This window comes from Homo sapiens, chromosome 9 (assembly GCF_000001405.40).
Source record: "Homo sapiens chromosome 9, GRCh38.p14 Primary Assembly".
Classification (NCBI taxonomy): Eukaryota; Metazoa; Chordata; class Mammalia; order Primates; family Hominidae; genus Homo; species Homo sapiens.
In genome coordinates this window covers 123687550-123709403 of record NC_000009.12, presented here as the reverse complement: position 1 = coordinate 123709403, position 21854 = coordinate 123687550, and the positions used below count along the sequence as shown (strand labels likewise).

The 21854-nt window shown below is 39.1% G+C and overlaps 1 protein-coding gene across 41 annotated transcripts in view, besides 1 other annotated feature; it reads left to right on the top strand.

The window, feature by feature from the left end:
• Positions 1–21854, top strand: part of DENND1A (DENN domain containing 1A) — a 550469-nt gene that overhangs the window by 220723 nt on the left and 307892 nt on the right. The gene's annotated exons all lie outside the window — the stretch shown is intronic.
• Positions 11507–11556: an enhancer, noted in NCBI's record as "active region_28947". NCBI's record gives its function as "activates an Ori minimal core promoter by ATAC-STARR-seq in GM12878 lymphoblastoid cells {active_cell/tissue: GM12878}" and the evidence as "EXISTENCE:reporter gene assay evidence [ECO:0000049][PMID:35858748]".

Below are 21854 nucleotides of genomic sequence, written 5' to 3'. Positions count from 1 at the left end.
ATGTGTTAGAGCAGAGTTGATCCCAGTATAAGAATCAGTGCTTGATCATTACGAGAATTCTATCCAAAAGGCACAAGAACAAAGAACATACCTTCTCACCTAGAAACTGGGGCACTGGTGCTCAGAGGGGGGCCTGGGTCGGGAGTAGGATTGGGAAAGAGAAGTCCTGGGAACAGAGGAGGCCTTAGTTACAGAGTCTGCTAAACTGGCAGGGGATCTGTCTGCTCCATTTAGGCCTTCTTCCTGATAGGGTTGCAGAAATGCTAGCATCTCCACTTTTTAGACATAGAACAGACTTGACCACTTTCAGTCCTGCTGGGTTGTAGAGTGACAGCCCTTGATATGCTGACCAGCTGGCTCAAAGTCGATTCCAGGGGAATGGTAGGCAGCCTACTGATAGCCAAAAAGGGCTGAGGCGGGGGAGTTATCCCAATACTGTAAATGAAATTCAAGTATGTTTAACCCATGGTCATCTATTTAGTGTATCATACATAACAGTAAAGTCAAAGCCAATGACCTCCTGAAGAAATCAAGTGGTGTTTTCTTAAGAGGTTAGAATTCAGTTAAAAGCAAAATTCAAGTCTTAGGTACTGAGAATGCTAAAACAGAAGGCTCCGGTAGTCTTTTCTTTTTTTGTTTTTAAAAATTCCCAATTATGTAATCAATACATGCTCATTGCTCATCCTACTCCCCCTGCCAAACTGAAGGTGCTATAAGAAACTAGAAGAAGAAAAAACCCCACATAACCCTACCATCTGCATGCAACAATGATGACATATTCTTTTATTTTTTATATACTTGTAATATTTTATATGTTGTTACTTAAAATTTATTTTTCTGGTCATGAATATACTTAGACTCTGAAGTAAATGTGCAACATGCTAAAAAACTGAAGAAAATGGCCCCAAATTCCATCTACCCAGAGAATTTAGGCTTCCAAAAATATTGTGCAAGCAATGCATCAATATTTTTCTTGTAAATAGTTAAAATAACATATAAATATGTAATTAATATAGGTATAATGCAGGTTTCCTTTGATCACCTCTCAATTCCAGTCCTCTATCCAGAATAGAACTCTTATACATAATTATTACATATATTCTTTCCTATGCATCTAATTATATAGAATATATGTAAGGTAATGATAAAATAAACACTGGAGAGTCTATTGCCCAACTAAAGAATATGACCATTCGCATTCAAACCACTCCTGTTGGTGGACCACATGGGTTGTTCCCAATTTTTTCTTCTCTTTTTTTTTGTTTTTGCTATAACAAACACTGCTATTATGAAGCCTCAGAGAAGAAATTCTGCAATCTGCTATCACCACATCTCACCCACCTACAACTTCACCCGTATACGCTACCTTCTCCCCTGTTATCATGGGTGCATTTTCCAGATTCCTAGCAAGAACAAAACCATGCATCCATGCACTAGATTCCATCCCCTTTCGTCTACTCAAGACACGATTCCATCAGTTTTCTTCTTCCCATTCTGAATTATTTCCCCCTCTCTACTTGATCTTCCCCTTATTGTGGAAGCATGTAGCTATTTCTCCTATCTTAGTGGATGGGAGTAGGAAAACATCCTCTTGAACTAATACTGTTCTCCCATTAGGTCTCTATTTCCTCTTCCCTTTACAGCAAAATTCCTTTAAAAAGTTGCTGAATTTGTTGTCGTCAGTTCTCCACTGAAGTCATTCCAATCAGGCTTCCACTCCCACCACCCCTCTGAATCTGCTCTTGTCATGGTTATCAGTGACCAAAAATGTGATTAATTCTCAGTTCTCCTCTTTCTTGATCTGTTTGACACAATCACTGCCTTCTCTTTGATATATTTTCCTCATATGACTTCCAGGGAAGGGAACCCTGTTTTCCTGATTTCCTGCTACTTCCTTGGCTTTTCTTTCTGTCTCCTTTGCCAGTTATTCCATACCTCCCCAAAGTGTTAAATGGTGCTCCCTTCCAGGGCTCAGTCCTTGGGCTTCTTTTTTTTTTTTTTCCTTTTTGAGATGGAGTTAACGCTCTTGTTCCCCAGGCTGGAGTGCAATGGCGGGATCTTGGCTCACTGCAACCTCCGCCTCCCAGGTTCAAGTGATTCTCCTGCCTCAGCCTCGCGAGTAGCTGGGATTACAGGCATGCGCCACCATGCCTGGCTAATTTTGTATTTTTAGTAGAGACGAGGTTTCTCGATGTTGATCAGGCTGGTCTCAAACTCCTGATATCAGGTGATCCGCCTGCCTTGGCCTCCCAAAGTGCTGGGATTACAGGCGTGAGCCACCGCGCCCGGCCCTGAGCTTCTTTTCTTTAAATATATTTACTCCCTTCATTGCACCCAGTGTCATGTCATGTCTATTAACACCTTCTGACAACTCCCAGAATTAAATAGCAATCTCAGACATGGACTTTTCCCTTGAACTCCAGCTGCTTACACCTTCTCTTGGCTATCTGATAGGCATTTTTATATAACACATCCAAAATTCAGCTTCTAATTTTTCTCCTCAACTCTATTCTTAGTCTTCCCCATCTCAGTTAAGGGCAGGACAATACTATTTTTTTCCATTTGATAATGCCAAAAACCTTGGAGTTGTTTTTGACCCTTCTCTATTTTTTTTTTTTTTTTTTTTTTTTTTTGAGACGGAGTCTCGCTCTGTCACCCAGACTGGAGGGCAGTGGCGTGATCTCGGCTCACTGCAAGCTCCCCCTCCTGGGTTCACGCCATTCTCCTGCCTCAGCCTCCCGAGTAGCTGGGACGACAGGCGCCCGCCACCACGCCTGGCTAATTTTTTGTATTTTTAGTAGAGACCGGGTTTCGCTGTGTTAGCCAGGATGGTCTCGATTTCCTGACCTCGTGATCCGCCCGTCTCGGCCTCCCAAAGTGCTGGGATTACAGGCGTGAGCCACCGCGCCCAGCCGACCCTTCTCTTTTTTGTCCACATACTCTATATCCAAGCCATCCACAAATTCAGCCATATCTTATGTTGAAAAATATCCTGGGAGGCCAAAATGGGCAGATCATGAGGTCAGGAATTTGAGACCAGCCTGGCCAACATAGTGAAACCTCGTCTCTACTAAAAATACAAAAAATTAGCTGGGCATGGTGGCGGACGCCTGTAATCCCAGCTATTTGGAAGGCTGAGGCAGGAGACTAGCTTGAACCAGGGAGGTGGAGGTTGCAGTGAGCCGAGATTGCGCCACTGCAGTCCGCAGTCCGGCCTGGGCTACAGAGCAAGACTCCGTCTCAAAAAAAAAAAAAAAAGAAAAAATATCTAGTATCTGTTGATGTAGCTCCACCTCCACCACTACCACCCTGGTCCAAGCCAACACCATTTCTTGCTGCATTGTTAGAACTGGTTTCCCTGTTTCTAATCTTAACCTCCTAGATGCAGCTTTTCTCATACTGCATTTCTCATCTGATCCCAGAACACAAAACAGAATTTGAATGACACTGTTTTCTCAGTTCTCCCAAGGATGGTACATATTATTTTTGCTGTGTCAATTACTATGGTCTTAATATCTATCTAGTTCTCTACGTCTTCTTTTCTTCTTGGATGTTCTGCTTTTCTTGGTATTGTGCCTTTCCATGTAAATTTTAGATTCAGTAATATTATCAAGTCTCATAAAAACCAGGTTGAAATTTTCACTGAATACAGATAAGTCTGGAATGAATTGACACCTTTATGTTAGTGAGTTTTCCTGCCCAATTCCTGAACATGGTGTCAGTTTATTTAGATTTTATTTTAATATCTTTTAAAAACACTTCAAAATTTCTTCCATAATGGTCCTACATATCTTTGCTTCATTTTTTTCCCCTAAGGACCTATGTTTTTACGGGTTCTATAAATGGCATATATTTTTAATTACATTTTTCTGTTCTCGTGTTGTTTAGAAACTCAATTGATTTCTGAATATTGATCTTTTGCCCAGCTACCTAATTCTAGTAGTTTATTATATATCCTTTTGGATTTCAGATATAAAATTATGTAATTTATAAATAACCACTTTACCTTTTTTCCCCTTTCCTATTCTTTGTACCCTTTATTTCCTTTTCTTGTCCAGCTGTGCTGCTTAATATCTTCAGTACAACGTTGAGCAGAAGTAAAGATAATGAATATACTCTTATTGTTCTTCATTTTAAAGAAAGTATATTAGCATTTCTCCAATAAGTCGTAAATAGATATTCTGTCTTAGATTAAGGAGATTCTTTTTTGCTCTTGTTTTATTTACGTGCCACAAATGAGTATGTCTAATTGTTACTCTTAAACTAATTCACTTATTTGTTCTTGCTGTCTTCACAGTGCTTTGTCTCTCATGTGTTTGTTTGTTTTTTTTTTTTAAATTCATCTTGCGTGGGATTTCAGCAATTCTGGAACAATCTCAACCATTATTTCTTTGACTTTTGATGCTTCTTTTTCTTATTATATCCTTCTGGAAATTTGATTAGAATACATTAGGCTTTTTCACTCTCTTTCATGTTGCTTGTTTTCCTTTTTCAGTTATTTCTTCTTCTTGTCTATTTAGATCCATTATGAATAACGTATCTGGGTTTATCTTCCGGCTCACTAATGCCACTTTTACTCGTGTCTAATCTTTTCATTTTGTGATATTCCATTTGGTTCTTTTATAGATCTGCTTGGCTGTTGGTAGTCTTTTTTTCCCCACCATTGTCAATCATTCCTTTAAAAAATGAGAAACTAAGTTTTTTACATGCATTAAACACTGTTTTATTCTGTTTCTGATTATTTTAGTTGTCCACAAAGCTTTATTTGTAGGAATTGGGGGAGTGGGGCTTGGCTCAATTTGAATCCCTCTAGAGTATATTTATATTTCAACTATGCTTCTGGCTATTACCTAGGAATACTAATAATTTGGGTTCTCTATAAATATGTTTGCCATTTTATGAGACCACGATGGGTGAATTTGGATTGCAACTCCATGTGAAAGCATACTTTTAGTTAGACGTGTCACTGGAGATATTTGCTTGTACCCTGCAACAGCATCAAGAATGAAGAATTTTCTGCTGATAGAATTTAATCAGAATATTTTATCCTTACACTAAAGATGTAGCCCTTGACTACCTAAGTATTAGGCTGTTGTGTACTTAAGAGATTTCTAGGCTTTATCTCCTTTCACCTCTGACCTGTGTCTCCATCATTTTGGGAGCTCAAAGTGTTCATGGTTTGGCAAAGAGCTTCAGGGGTAAAAACTAGCTTTATTGCTTGTTTACTTTTCTGAGTTCCATTTTTTTTTTTCATTTTATTTTTCGGGCCTCTAGAGTGTTTACTTTTTACCAGATTAGCAATATTTTTAAAGATGGTACATGAAAATATATAGTCTGGCATTTAATTGTATCAGTTGGGAGGGTTTTAAAAATATCTAATCTTCCATAGGCCAAAATGGATGAACTAAAGAAATGAAAACATATATAAATATAAAATATATATTTACATACACTAAAATTCACCAATTTTAAGTGTACAATTTAATGAGTTTGACAAATGTATACAGATGTATAACCACTACCATGGTCAAGATACAGAACGTTTCTGTCACTCCCAAAAGTTCTCTGTGCCCCTTTTTAGTCACCCCAACCTCCCCTGGCCCTAGGCAAGCACAAATCTGTTTTCTTTCATTGTCAATTAACTTTATCTTTCCTAGAATTTTATTTAAATGGAAAGGAGTACAATATGTACTCCTTTGTGTCTAGCTTCTTTTGCTCAGCGTAGCATTTTTGAGATTCATTCAAGTTATTTATATATGAGTAGCTTGTTCTTTTTGGTAAGGACTTATTACTGCCATTTTCATTGTTTTCTAGGTCCTTTCTTTCTTCCTCTCTTACTGTTTCCTTTGTGGTTGAGTGATTTTTCTATAGTAGTGTGTTTTGATTCTTTGCTTTTTATTTTTAGTGTATCTATTATAGTTTTTTGCTTTGTAGTTACCATGAAGCATATAAAAAACATAACTATAACAGGTTATTTTAAGCTGATAATAACAACTTAACTTTGATCACATGGAGACCAAAAAACTCTGTAGTTTAACTGTACATCCTCCCCTGACATTTTGAAATTTGATGTCATAATTTACATCTTTTTATAACGTATATCCCTTAACAAATTATCGTAGTTATTTTTTAGGCTGGGTGCAGTGGCTCACACCTGTAATCCTAGGTGGATGGATCACTTGAGTCCAGGAGTTCGAGACCAACCTGGGTAACATAGTGAAACCCCATCTCTACTACAAATACAAAACAAAGAAATTAGCCATGTGTGGTGGTGTGTGCCTGTGGTCCCAGCTACTTGGGTGGCTGAGCCAGGAGAATCACTTGAACCCAGGAGGCAGAAGTTGCAGTGAGCCGAGATCGCGCCACTACACTCCAGCCTGGGCTACAGGGAAAGACTCTGTATCAAAAGAAAAGAAAATCATTGTAGTTATTTTTAAAATAGTTTTGTCTTTTAACCTATATACTTGATATAAGGGACTTACATACCACCATTATGGCATTAGAGTATTATAAATTTGACTGTATACTTACTTTTACTTTCAGATGTTTTATGTTATTTATTAGCATCCTTTTCTTTCAGCTTAAGGAACTCCCTTTGGCACTGCTTGTAAGACAGGTCTGGTGATAGTGAACTCCCTTATCTTTTGTTTGTCTGGAAAAATCTTTCTCTCTCCTTCATTTCTGTAGGACAGATTTGCTGGGTACAGTATTCTTGGTTGACAGTATTTTTCCTTCAGCACTATAAATATATCATCGCAGTCTTTCCTGGCTTATAATGTTTATTCTCAGAAGTTTGCTGCTGGGTGTCTTGGAACTCTCTTATATATTATTTGCTTCTTTTGTCTTGCTGCTTTCAGGATTTTCTCTTTGTCTTTGATCTTTGACAGTTTGATTAGATTCTATCTTGGGGTAGTCTTATTTGAATTGAATCTGATTGGAGGCTTTTGACCTTTCTGTACCTGGATATTTGTATCTTTCTGTAGGTTTGGTATATTTTTTGCTATTATTTATTTAAATAAGCTTTCCTACCTCTTTATCTTTCTCTACCCCTTCTTGAATACCAGCAACTCATACATTTGCTCTTTTGATGCCATTCCGTAAATCTCATAAGCTTTCTTCGTTCCTTTTTTTTCCTTTTTTATCCTCTGATTGTATATTTTCAAATAACCTGTCTTTGACTTCACAGATTTTTTTCCTTCTGCTTAATCAGGTCTGCTATTGATTTTCTCTATTGCGTTTTTATTTATTTATTTATTTTTGTATTTTTCAACTCCTGAAAAATGTTTTTAAAAATTATTTTAGGCTCTGTTAAATTTCTAATTCTGGTCACTTATTATGTTTCTCATTTCATTGAATTGTTTATTGAGCACCTTTAAAATAGCTATTTTGGATTCTCTATCAGGCAGTACATACATCTTTGTCTCTTTATGGTCAGTCACTAGTACCTCATTTTGTCTGTTTAGTGACAACGTGTTTCCCTGATCCTTGTAGTCATGCATTGACCTTCTGTACATTGAAGAAGTAGGTACTTATTCCAGTCTTTGTAAGCTTTTGTGGCTTTGTTTTGGAACCTCCTTCAAAAGTAAGCCTGTTCAGAGTTTCTAGGCAGGTTGTCTGGTCTGGTCCCTAATCCTCAGATTGCTGTAGCTGTGGTAGCTTAGCATGCTAAGCCCATGGCTACCAAGGCTGGTACAGCACTGGGATATACCTGAAGCTCTTGGCTGCTGAGAGCCTGCCTGTTGCTGTGGGTTATTCATAGCCTAAGGCCACTGTAGTCAGCTGGCAGTGATGCAGGCCAGAACTCAAATCTGTGTTATAGGGGCTGCAGGTCTCTGGTGCTGGGGTGGGTCTAGAAGCTCAGTTCACAGGTGTCGGCCTGGAGTTAGAGGCCCTAGAGGTCTGCCTGATGCTGGGTTTTATGGTGGCAGGCTCAGTATTGGGGACCTAGACAAAGTCTTAGACTTATTTCTCTTTCCCCCAGGCAGATGATATCTCTTTCCACTGCCTGAGGTAAGGGGAGGGATGACATGGGTAATGCAAAATTGTCCTTTCTACCCTCTTTGATGTGTCTTTCTTATTATTGTGCTATAACCAGGCACTATGATCTGTTACATGGTTTCTTTAGCTCTTGTGAGGGTATTTTGAACTGTTTAAATTGATGTTTCTGTGTGGGGATAATCCCTGGAGAGTTCATTTCTGCCATTTTGCTCTACCTTCTATCAATTTTTACTTCTGAGTTCATGCTTTTTGTGTTCTGTGAAATCTCTGCATAACTTAAGAGCACAGAGATTTTCCCCTATATTGTCTTATAGACATTTTGTAGGTTTATCTCTTATACTTAGGTCTTCAGTCCATTTCTATAAATTTTTGTATGTAGTGTGAGGTAAGGAAATTGGTATTAAAATTGTAAGTTCAAATTAATAAAACAGAAGCTTTTATAATAGCATCAAAATATGAAATACCAAGGGATACATTGAACAAAATATTTGCCTGACCTGTGCACTGAAAATACAAAACATTGCTGAGATACATTTTTTTAAAAAGATCTAAATAGATATACCAGGCTGATGGATTCAAGGATTCCATGTTGTCAAGATGTTATGATGGTTAATCTTGTGTGTCAGCTTGTCTAGGCTATGGTACCTAATTATTTGGTCAAACACTAGTATAGATGGTACTGTGAAGGTATTTTAAATCTAACTAACATTTATAATCATTGACTTTTAGTAAAGGAGATCACCCTCCATAATGTTGGTGGTCCTCATCCAATCAGTTTAAAGCCTTCAGAGCAGAAACTGAGGTTTTCCAGAGAAGAAGGAATTCTGCTTCAAGACTGTAATTTAAAAATCCTTCCTGAGTTCCCAGCTTGCTGGCCTGCCCTACAAATTTTGGACTCAGGACTGCAACATCAGTTGTTACCTGAGTTTCCAGCCCACTGGCCTGTCCTATAGATTTCAAACTTGCCTCAACCAGTTACTTAACATAAATCTCTTTATACACACACACACGCATGCATACAATAGTCTATTCTGTTTCTCTGGAGGACTGTTACTGATACAGATGTCAGTTCTCCCCAAATTGATCTATAGAGTCAATGCAATAATACCACCAGGCCTTTTTTTCCTTCAGAATTGGGCAAGCTGATTCTAAAATCTGTATGAAGATTTTTGTGGCAAAGAACTTAGGCAAAATAACTTTTTAAAAGAAGAATAAAGTTGGAGGACACATATTACCTGATCTCCAGTTTTATTGTAGAGCTACAGTAATTGAGACATTGTGGTATTGGCACAAGGGTAGACCATACGGATTAGTAGAACAGAATAGAGAATCAACTGATATCTAGATATATTTTTTAGAAAGGTGCCAAGGTAATTCAAAGGGTAGTCTGTTAAAAAATGAAAGGGTAGGGCAGGCATAGTGGCTCACACCTGTAATCCCAGCACTTTGGGAGGCTGAGGTGGGTGGATCACCTGAGGTTGGGAGTTTGAGACCAGCCTGGCCAACATGGCGAAACTCCGTCTCTTCTGAAAATACAAAAATTAGCTGGGTGTGTTGGCACATGCCTGTAATCCCAGCTACTTGGGAGGCTGAGGCAGGAGAATTGCTTGAACCTGGGAGGCAAAGGTTGCAGTAAGCTGAGATCACGCCACTGCACTCCAGCCTGGGTGACAGAGCGAGACTCTGTCTCCAATAAAAAAAAAAAAAAAAAAAAAAAGAAAGAAAGAATGAAAGGGTAGTCTATTAAAAAATGTCGATGGAGCAGTTGGGTATCCGCAGGGAAAAAAAAGGAACTGAGTTTTGGATGAAATCACTTTTTCCAATACAGAAGAAGAAAATAATTATCTTATTATTTCAGAGATGGGCACAGGGAGCCAGGGTGAGGGGGGAACCTGGAAGATGGGGACGGGGTGAGCTTGAGGGAGAGGTCGAAAATAATTACCTTTAATTTCATCATCCAAAGATAGATATTGTGGTGTTTTCTGTTAGATGTTGTCTTATAATATATGTAATATACAGATAACTTAAATGTATATATTTTTAAATTTACATGTTTGAAAACCTTTTTACTGGATTTGCTTTTTACATATTTTTATAACATCACAGCTTTCCATCTGAAGGACATTTGAATGACCATATGATACTAAGTCATGAAGGTGTTCCATATTTTACCTAATGATTCTCAACTGTTGGAATTAATAATAGTGATAGTAATAGCAGCTGCCATTTATTGATTACTTTCTACCTGGAAACTATGCTAAGCAGGTTTTATGAATTGTATTATTTAATCCTTATGACAGCTCTTTAGTTGGCTCCATTAAAAAAAAAGTAGGGGGAACCACGGGTTAAGTCACATGCCTGTCTCTAATGTGTGAAGCTTAGATTTATAATTAATTGTCTTTTATTCCAATACCTGAGAAAAATATACTGCCATTCTTTAGGCTTTTTATAGTTTTTTGCCACCGTAAATTCTGAGGCAGATATCTTTGTGTAGAAATTACTGTCTACATTTCAGACATCTGAACTTCTTCTCTTCTGCTAGTCCTTTATATGTTTGATCCATCTTCACTGAATGAAATATTTTCAAAGCCTGTGTAGGTGTGCAACGTAGTACGCAGGGCAAAGCAGTGCACAAACTGCCAAGCTGTTCTTTTGGTTGCCAGTGGCTTGAGCCAAACAGCACCAGACCATGATGGGCATTTCTATAGGAATGCATATCTTCTGGGGAACGAATCTAAGGGATCCGTAGAGCTGACTATTTGGTGGTTAGACTCATGTTGTAAAACGAAGGAGAAACAACTTTAGTAGTCTGTACCCTAGGACATTTTTAAATGAAATTATATAATGTTGGTCCAGTGACTTAACCCTCTGCCTTGGCTTTTCCATCTGAGAGAAGAGCATTAAGTTAGAGCTTTGTCTCCAAGTAAGATGCCCTAAAGAGGTAGTATTGCCTAATGAGCAAAATCATATCTGTTGATGATTTGGATGTCACTAAGGGGGCAGTACTACTACACTTGTGGTATAGCCTTGAAGCTAGAGAGATTTAGGTTCAGATATAGCTCTAAACCATTTATAGCTTACCAAATGATTTCAGACAAATTTCCTGAGCCTTTTTGAGCTCCGGTTTTCTAATTACTTGGAATATAAAACAAGCACACACTGATCTTTAAGCAAGGGATCTCTTCTCACGACTCCTTGGTTTGTTCTTTGGACTTTTCCTCACCTTATTTGGGCTGTGATTTTGTAGAAGAATCAGGGTCCTCTACCCCTCCACAACCCCCATATGATCTAAGGCTTCTTTTCTCTAATGAGCAACTTATTTCTGCTTATTCTGTATGATATGATAAGGATAGAGTTAAATCTTCTCGGTCCTTAACTTCTATTATCTGCAGGTCTGCCTATCTTTTGCATTCTCTTAACCTGTTGTTGACAGCAAAAGTGGCCTAAGTAAGACAGGAGGCCATGTCTAAATTTGTGAAGAGTTGTTTTTAAACAGCCTAAAGGTTGTGTTTATATTTAGAATGTCTTTTCACTTTCATTTCCATGTTAAAGGCTTATGTACCATTAGTGTTAGGGTAAAAACAAAAAAGCACAGCAGCTCTAATAGTCTCTCCAGTACACCTTGTGTCACTCCATGACTACTCCTGGGGTTCCTGGTTTTTCGCATTGAGGCTCCAAGAACCCTGGAAACTCACTGCAGAAGTGGGGGAAGGGGGAGGAAGGAAGGAGGAGGGAGACTGTGAAGTAACTCAGGAATGGAAAACCAAACACCGTATGTTCTCACTGATATGTGGGAGCTAAGCTATGAGGATGCAAAGGCATAAGAATGATACAATGGACTTCGGGGACTTGAGGGGAAGAATGGGACGGGGCAAGAGATAAAAGACTACAAATAGGGTGCAGTGTATACTGCTCGAGTGATGGGTGCACCAAAATCTCACAAATAACCACTAAAGAACTTACTCATGTAACCAAGTACCACCTGTACCCCAATAACTTATGGAAAAATAAAAATAGAATAAAATTCTATAACAACAACAAAAAAGTTGGAGAAAGATAGCTGGTGGGTAGAATAATATGGGAAGTTGTACTTTTAAATTAATTTTGTCTTGTATGACTAAAGACACACTGATTTTTGCCTAGAGAAACCTTTGTTTAAAATGGTTGTTTTTTAATCCAAGAAAAAAGTGGAATATGGAACCTAGGTGGGGATTAAATAAATGTGCATGTGTGCATAATTTTTTCCCTTTTCTCCTGTTAAAATGGCAAGCAAAATATCTGGGGAACAGATATATTCTGCAAGCGGATCTTCACCATGTTAGAATTTGGGGATTACTCTTAATGCAAAAGAAATGCCCCTTTTATGGTTTGTATAGCTCCAAATTGCCGGTTAAATTTAACCGGCACAGTGGCAGGTATTTTGTAAGATGTGGCTGATACGTAGCACCTTACAAAGTTTATTTTGAGTGATCAACAAAGAATACTGGTGAATAGAGACCTTTTTAGTTGTGTTCTTATTTCTTTATTTTCCTATGCCCTGTCCAACTAAGCTGGAGAGGACATGATCAGATCACTATAGTAATTTAGAAAGGAACACGCTCTATCCCTGCCCCTTCGCTGTCTAATGAGTTCATGTAAAAAATATATCAAAAGAAATTCTCATCGCAGAATCCTCACATTTCAAAGGGGAGTATATTTATTATAAGAACTGCTGATTCATTAGGAATGCTTCCTAATTCGCACAGCAGCAGCTGCTTCTGGTTAGAATAAACTCTGTCTCCTCCTTTGTGCCCTGTCTCTCCAAAGGGATGTTAAATTTTGGTTTAAGATTTTCTCTTGCTTTAGCTTTTTCTCTCCCACTCTTCCTCTTTCCCCAGTTGTAATGCTTTATTCTATTCAGTGTTCATAGGATTTGAACAACCTACTGTACCCACTCTCCACCTTTAAAAATGACTTTCCTTAAGATTACAAATGCTAACAAAACTCTTCCGATAATGTGTTTTGTTTGCATTCACAGTGGCAGTGGAGTATATTGTACAGCAGTAAAGAAAAAAGTTGAGACACCTTGTAGTCATGAATTCTAAGTGCAATAATTTAAAGTACAGGAACTGCCATTGTCTGTTAAATGAAACCACTGTATTAACGTATCATAGCATGCTGTTCTAATCACTTTTCTCCAAATACCAGCTTTTGAAAGAAACATGGCTGTATTTTTTTATACAAAATCTGAAATCGTGTAATTGAATGGCTTGGCAGAATAGGTAAATGAATGTAGCAACATGCATTCAAATATGTCTCTTGGGTTTGTAATGAGCTGATTTTGAAGTTCACAGTTGTAAGACTTGCCATTTTATTTCCTGATTTTATACTCCGGACCCAGACAAAGGTGCCAGTTTTTTGGTGTGGGTTTTTTTTTTTTTTTTGTATTAACAGAAAAAGGAAGAAGAAAATTGTTCATAAAAATCAGTTTGCCTTTTTTGGGCATCACTATTGGATTCTGTGTTCCAGTAACCTTTATTCAACTGTCCTTCTATAAAATTATCTTCTAATGTGACCATTTCTACTTAATTTTAGAATTATTAACTGCCTCTGTTAGAGCTGAAAGAAATTCTGTCATGTTGGCCGGGGTTGGTAGTCTGCCACGGGTGTGTGCCCACACTAGTATGAGAGAGAGTTGTTGCCTGTGCATACTTCTCTCATAGCATTAATCTTAGTAATTACACTTGTTGATTTACAAGTCTGAATCCCCCACTAGACACTGAGCTCCTTGAAACTAGAGATTGTATCAGAATCGCCTGTTAGCCCCAGGACCCAGCAAAGGACCTCACAGTCAGTCAATGGTTTATGACCAATGAGCTATAGAATGCTGTATTAGTCAGAGTTCTCTAGAGGGACACACTAATAGGATATATATATATATAAAACTCAATGACATCATATTCTTTAGAATCTATAGTGTTCTTATCTCTAATAGTGTTTTGAAAATTGGTATCCTTGTTAGCTTGAATCCTCCAAGAAGCTGACATCAAGACAGGATTAACAGATTCTGTGTTGAAATAGAATGATTTATAATTTCAATAATATTTAGCGTATGGACTTTTAACAGTAATGTGCTGACAACAATCTTATTTGAATTTCTTTTGAAGTTAAGGCTTATATTCTTAGAGAACTTTTGTTTCTCCATATATATATATATGGAGAGTTATTAAGTATTAACTTACACAATCACAAGGTCTCACAATAGTCTATCTGCAAGCTGAGGAGCAAGGAGAGCCAGTCCGAGTCCCAAAACTGAAGAACTTGGAGTCTGACGTTTGAGGCCAGGAAACAATCCAGCATGAGAGTAAGTTGTAGGCTGGGAGGCTAGGCCAGTCTCTCTCTCCTTTTCATGTTTTTCTGCCTGCTTTATATTCACTGGCAGCTTATTAGATGGTGCCCACCAGATTAAGGGTGGATCTGCCTTCCCCAGCCCACTGATTCAAATGTTAATCTCTTTTGGCAATACCCTCACAGACACACCCAGGATCAATACTTTGTATCCTTCAATTCAATCAAGTTGACACTCAGTATTAACCATCACAACTGGTAAGCCAAATGGGTGTCCGAGTAGATACCAAAGTGTGCAGTAGACAAAAAGATCATCAGCTTTGGAGCTAAAGAGACATCATTTCGAATCCTGGTTAATTAAGAGATTGGGAATTGCTTATGGAATCCAATTGAGATTTTGATGTTTTAGGACAATTCTAGATATTGAAAACAGCGACTGCACTACTATACATTCAGACAAGAGAAACCATGTACTTTTGGTGGGAGATAGGGCAAAAGAGGAAAGGACAGAGTAATATTGGGAGATTGCCATTCAATGGGCACAGAAAGATCTACTTTTGGGTTTGTCAGGATGTCCTTTAGGCTATGCAGATGTGTGACTCTAGGTAAGTCCCTTATATTCTCTCAGCTCATCTTTCTTTTGCTACAAAATGAGAGAGTTAAACAGTTTAGAGCAACTGGCTGATCTCCCACTTTCTTTGCCTCACCTGGTTGGGCTTGATGACACAGAGCTTGGGTTTTACCTTTTCTTTTCAAGGAGCAAACCCTTGGCACCACTCATGGTATTACGGCCAGACCTCTGGGATGGGCATGATTTCTTAGCTAGGAGAGAGCTTGGTATAATAAGGAGGTTCTCAACCCCAGCATACATAGACAGACTTGGTTTATTTCACTCACTTGTGAGATGTTTCACAAATAATTTGTTAGTGTTAAATAATATAGCTAGGCCAGGTGCAGTGGCTCACGCCTGTAATTGCAGCACTTTGGGAGGCCAAGGCAGGCATATCACAAGGTCAAGAGATCGAGACCATCCTGGCCAACATGATGAAACCCTGTCTCTACTAAAAAAAAAAAAATACAAAATTTAGCCGGGTGCGGTGGCACACGCCTGAAGTCCCAGCTACTCGGGAGGCTAAGGCAGGAGGATTGCTGGAACCTGGGAGGCAGATGTTGCAGTGAGCTGAGATTGTGCCACTGCACTCCCGCCTGGTGAAAGAGAGAGATTCTGTCTCAAAATAATAATAATAATAATAATAATAATAATAATAATAATATAGCTAATGAAACTTGTGGATGATATACTGTTTTAATACATTAGGTGGACTGAAGACATTCCTATACTACCCTTCACTTGAGGTGGAGTGGCAGCTAGCACCATGGGGTTGTGATACATGGGCATGTCCATGGAACTCTATTGCCATGAAAACTTGTCCTTCATTGGTCAGCAGTCAGGGAAAAAAGCTAAAATATACAGTGTAGCTTAAAAGATCATGATAGAAGCCAGACTTAAAAGGCTATGTACTGTATTATTCCATTTCTATGATGTTCTGAAAAAAAAAGCGAAATTATAGGAATAGGAAAGAGATCAGTGGTTGCCAGGGCTGAGATTTGGGGAGGCAAGGTTGGCCACAAAGGAGCAACACAAGCAGGCTGGATGGGGTGTGATGGAAGTGTTCTATATCTTGATTGTCTGTGGTTGTTACACCGATGTGGGCATTTGTCAAAAGAGTGACTTTTACTGCATGTTTAAAAGAAGTGAATTTTTAAAAGAGAGATGGTGGGAAGGACAGGTGGAAAACAGATGATCTCAGTGCTGTGTGCTAAGAGCTATGACACATAAATAGACAGTGAGGGAGATTCTGTTGGATGGTGCACAAGCAAACATTTAGGGGTCCTGGAAATGTTGTATGGATTCATTGCGGGTGGTGGTTACATAGCTGTATCCAGTTGCCAAAATTCATCTATATATACACATAGAATGGGTGGAGTTTATTTGATATAAATTAAAATTCAAAGTTGATTTTTAAAAAAGAAAAAGGATCATGAGCTTTGGAACCAGAGACCATACTTCAAATCTTGACCATTTCTTTACTTGCTTGGTGATCTTGAGCAAGTCACTTCATGTCTCTGAGCCTCAGTTTCTTCATCTCTACATTATAGCTAAAAATACCCATCTCACATAGTTGAGGTGAGGAATAGAAATAATGCCTGATGGAGCTAAGGTACCAGATATTTTCATTTTCATCCCCAAAATGGCCCAGAGCACAGAACTGGTCTTTAAATTAACTGAAGCTGCCCTATTTTAGAGTCATAATAAAAGTTAAGTTCAAACATTTGTGAAAGGTAAAAATGTTACCATCCATATGTTTGTTTAATAGTAGCTCTTAGAATCTTATTAGCTTTGCTATCTTTTATATCACTATAGCATGCTAAATCTTCTAGGGTTAAGTCATATTTAATTAGTTAACTAAGAATAATATACGCTGTTCCTTCAGTCAGGAAAGCACAGGGAATTACTTATAGTGTTAGCTCGGAAAGAGTCATTCATTGAGGAATGATTGAAAAAGTACTAGTGACCCATTTATAATCCCCATCTTTTTTTAATTTGCTTTCATTCTGTCTTTGAAATGAAATCTTTATCTTGGGTTAGGGGAATAAATATTAATTTTAGAAATCCCTATTGGCCCAGCCCACTCTTTTGTGATTGACGCAATCTTAAAAGTAATTGGAAAGAACATCTGTGTGCTTGTGGCACTCAACATTTTAAAATCATTCAAAATGTGGTTGAGAACCATTCTTTCTCCTAAGAGAGTAGACATCTACCTAACAGTCATAACAGAAGCTACCTATTTTTGAGTCTCTGGTTTGTTTTGTGAACTGTGATAGGTACTTTGTGTTATTTTGCTTAATTTGTTCCATACCACCACTTTGTTAGGTAAACAGGAAGTGTTGCCCTTTTGCAGAGGAAAGTAGCCTTGGAGAGACGAAGGAACAGCTCTTGGGGGAGCCTGCTTGTCAATGGGAGGACCGCACCTGCTGCTCTGGATGGTCCAGCTCCCCTCCTCTCCTGCCATGTCTCACAATGGACACTGCTTCTGAAGGAAGCAGGCAACCCTCTGCCTAACAAATTCAGGTCAATCTTCTACATGACAGGAGCTCCTTTGTTAGCTCTCTTCTCCCAGAGTCAAATCTGTTTTTAAAATTTTATTCAGTAAGTAAAAGAGCACTGACGGAGGCCCTCATTTTTGGAACCTCCTTCTTCCTTGAGGACTTTCACCAGCCACATTGGTCTTAAAATTGTTGAGTTTATCTGATTCCAGACTATCCTCCTTCTAAAGCAGTCTTTTTACAAAGACAAAACCCATCAGATCTGTCCACTGCTTGAAACCCTTCTTTGATTTCAGGAAAAGAGTTAAACTCCATGGTCCAGCATGTAAATTTCTTACAAGCTGGGCTCTTTGGACTGCTCTAGTTTCATCTCTACTATTGCCAAAGATCCTCTCTCCACCCATCCCCACCCTCCAAAAAAAAAAAAAAATCACACAAAGAGACACCCCGCTCTACCCTTACTCTGGGATCCAGTAACCCCGAGCCATTTGTAATTCTTTGTTTCTTTGCCTCTGTAATTTTTGGTTTCCTCCAGACAGAATGTGCTTCTGTTTCATCCAGTTCGCCTTCCTCACTTAGCTGATACTACAGTCTAGTGGAGATGCCCTTCCTTGGTGCTGCCACAGCCCTTTGCCCACCTGTGTTGCAGCATCATCACGTAGCATTGTGATCCATCCTTTGCAGGTCTCTTCCCCAAGAGACTTAATAGTTCCTTGAGGACAGACAGCACTGTGTCTTGTTCATTGATTTATCCTAGCTGTCTAGGACAGGGCTGGCACACATTTATGCTTACTAAATGTTTGTATGAATGATCCAGCCTTGCAGATTTGGCCTGAAAATCTAACAGGGAAAAAATAGCTTCTGACCCCCCCATTTATTCCCTCTCAACTAAGAGTGACCTTAGATAAGGGAGGGTTGCTGTCTTCCTGAGCCTGCCAGGGTTTATTGAGGCTGACTGTACCCACATTAAGGAAAGGTCACTGAAAACCTTATTAGCACACCATCCTTGCCCTGAACTGAGATCCATGATAAGCATGGCACAGGAGGAAGAGCATGAGGCTCTCGTGTGACCAGTTTGTTAGAGAGTACAAACTTCCGCTTCATCCAGAAAGCCCATTTTGGAACTGGGTCATCACAGTTACTAAGCTCACTCACAGAAGCAGGAGGGCTGTTGCATCTTCATTCTATTCTCTCTGACCAATCCACCTCCCTAGCCCTTCGGCAAGACCACTTGGAAGTTGGTAGCCAGCGGGGAATCATACCTGTGGCTGTTTGTTTGTTTTTTAAAGAAAGAAAAGGAGGGGGGATATTTTGTTAACAGTTAATAAAATAATACATGTAGACTGTAGAAAGTTTGGAGAATATAGGAAAACACAAAAACTAAAATGAAAAAATCCTTCGTATATATTATAGAGCCTGCTTTTATATCTAAATATATTGTAAATGTTTTTCCATGTTAAGTATTCTTCTATAGTCTGATTTTAATGAATATATAATATTCCATCATTTTGATAGTTCATAATATATTGTAATCATTCTATTATTATACATTTAGGTTGCTTTCAAGTATTTTCAATTATGAATAACAGTACTTAACAGGCAACTTTTTTTTCTTAAATTTTAAGGCACTGCATGCTCAATACATAAGCTGTAGAAGACACAGAAAAGAATGCAGAAGAAAAAGATTTTCTACAATCCCATAATCTAGAAAAACCACTATTAGTTTGTCTTTTCTTCTGGTCTTTCTAGGAGCATATATGATGGCATGTGACACATAGTGGTGTATACCCCTTGTTTTCCCTCCTCCTTCCTCCCTCCCTCCCTCCCTCCTTTCCTTCTTCCCCCCTCCCTCCTTTTTCTTCCTCCCTCCCTCCCTCCCTCCCTCCTTTCCTTCTTCCCTCCCTCCCTCCCTCCCTCCTTTCCTTCTTCCCTCCTTTTCTTCCCTCCCTCCTTCCCTCCTTTCCCTTTCCCTTTTCTTTTTTGGTACAGACTCTTGCTGTGTCACTCAGGCTGGAGTACAGTGGCGCGATCTTGGCTCACTGGAACCTCCAACTCTTGGACTCAAGCCATCTTCCCACCTCAGCCTCCTGAGTAGCTGAGGCATACAGGATTACAGTGACTACAGGCAGGCGCCACCACACCCAGCTAACTTTTGTATTTTTTTGTAGAGACAGGGTTTCCCCATGTTGCCCAGGCTGGTCTTGAATTCCTGGGCTCAAGTGACCCACCCGCCTTGGCTTCTGAAAGTGCTGGGTTTATAGGCGTGAGCCACCACACCTGGCCATTCTTTTCAACCACTATTATTTTATGGACATTTTCCCATATGATTAAAAATAATCTAAAATATAATTTTCTGTTGCCTGGATTTGCTGTAATCTCTCTAGCCATTCTCTTAGCACATGTTTAGAGAAGTGTGTGTGTGCATGTGTGTGTTGTGCTGTTATAAGTAATAAAAGAACTATCATTTAAAATATATTACCAAAAAAATTGTCACAATATTTAAGGCCGGTAAAAACATAGTAAAAATGATTCATGCGTACATTTTTCTGCCCTTCGTTTTAATTTTCTACTTTTTGTAGTAACTCATTAAAAGGCAACTTTCCTGCATTCATTCAATCCTATATGAGTTTATGAATTTACATCAGAGGCCAGGTGCAGTGGCTCACACCTTTAATCTCAGTACTTTGGGAGGCCAAGGCAGGTGGATCACTTGAGGTCAAAAGTTCGAGACCAGCCTGGCCAATATGATGAAACCCCGTCTTTACTAAAAATACACAATTTAGCCGGGCATGGTGGCATGCACCTGTAATCCCAGCTACTTGGGAGGCTGAGGTGGGAGGATCGCTTGAAGCTGGAAGGTGGAGGTTGCAGTGAGCCGAGATCACGCCACTGCACTCCAGCCTAGGCAACAGAGCAAGACTCTGTCTCGGAAAAAACAAAAAAGAATTTACATCAGAGAAACATATTTCTGCCAGGAGGTTTGCTGACTGAGCATCTTTTCTCTAAAATTTAGTTTTTAGGGTTTCTGTTTTGAAAATTATAAATACAGCCTTAATTTGAGGGAGTTTTTTTAACAACAAATTAGGGTTTTGTAACATTATGGACTGCTTTTCATGGCTTATAATAAAGCAGTGCCATCTGTACAAAGGTTATTTTAAAAATCGGGAGTGGCTGAGGGTAAGAATTCCATCAGGGTCTCAACAGAGAGTGACCAGTGGCATTTTATGTTGTAGCTTTGGGTGCCTTGTCGTGGATTCCCAGCTCTTCAGCCTCCTCGTGTTTGGGGCCCTCTGTTCTGTTGAAAGGTTCATTTGAGAAACCTGCCTATTTCATGCTGTGGCTGCTGTGTGATTTGGGTACAGAAGGAATGCGCATCATACCTCTTTTCAGGGCGGCCCAACCATTACTTACCACATTTTCCAAGCTCTGCGCCTGTTGCCTCTATCAGATCATTCCTAATGCCATGATGACTTCTCGCACAAATCTAAACCAGGGACCAACTTTAGTGGAAGTTATGCCATATTCCACTCTCTACTCAGTGCCTGACTTATATATATTAGGCAATGAATGAGTGAATGAATGCTGTCTATAACACAAATGAGCTTAATTATTATCTCATTTTGACAACAGCTAATCAAATGTAAAGTATAATCACTGTGTAACATACACTTTACTGAAACCATTCCCAGGGATTTTTTTCCAGAAAAGTACTTACTAGTATAGGAAGTCACACAGAACTGGATTCGACCCTCATCTACTTTGTGGCTGTGTGACTGTGAGCAAGTTAGCTTTTCTGGGTGTCAGTTTTGCCATTCGGTATCTGGGGATATGATGGTACCCTATCTAGAATTACAATGAGTAAATAAGCAAAGGCATGTAATGCTCCTGGCATTTGGTAAATTCCTGAATAAATGGTCTCCACTACTATTAAAATATTTACCACTCTACTTCTAATACTTTGATCGGTTTGGTGCACAGCAGTCAATGTGCTTGCACCTAGGTGGATCTTGTAGTTGTAGTTGAATAGATTCAGTCCTCTTCAGGATTGCTGGGCTTCCATGTAATTAATTGTGTACAAATAATTTTGCTTCCCTCAGCCTGACCCAGGTCTGCTGCAAAATTAGATAGCCGTGAAGCTTTTCCACAGAATAGGAGAATCTGGTGGGCCAGACAGAATCCCATGGCAGAGTGAAGCAAGAAGAAGGGCTGCTTGCCTTGCACAAATTCTTGCTTTACTCTCTCTAAAAACCCCTCGGTTTCATTTTCAGAAACATTTTGGGAAAAACTTCTCAGTGAAAGAGTTGCTTCGTCACTAAAGGTAACTTGAGAGCAGACCAGTTTCCCGTCTGTCTTTGTTGCCAGCTCTCTAGTTGAAAGGTTCTGCTTTGTACCCGAAGGAGGCTTTGAACATCAGCTGTCTG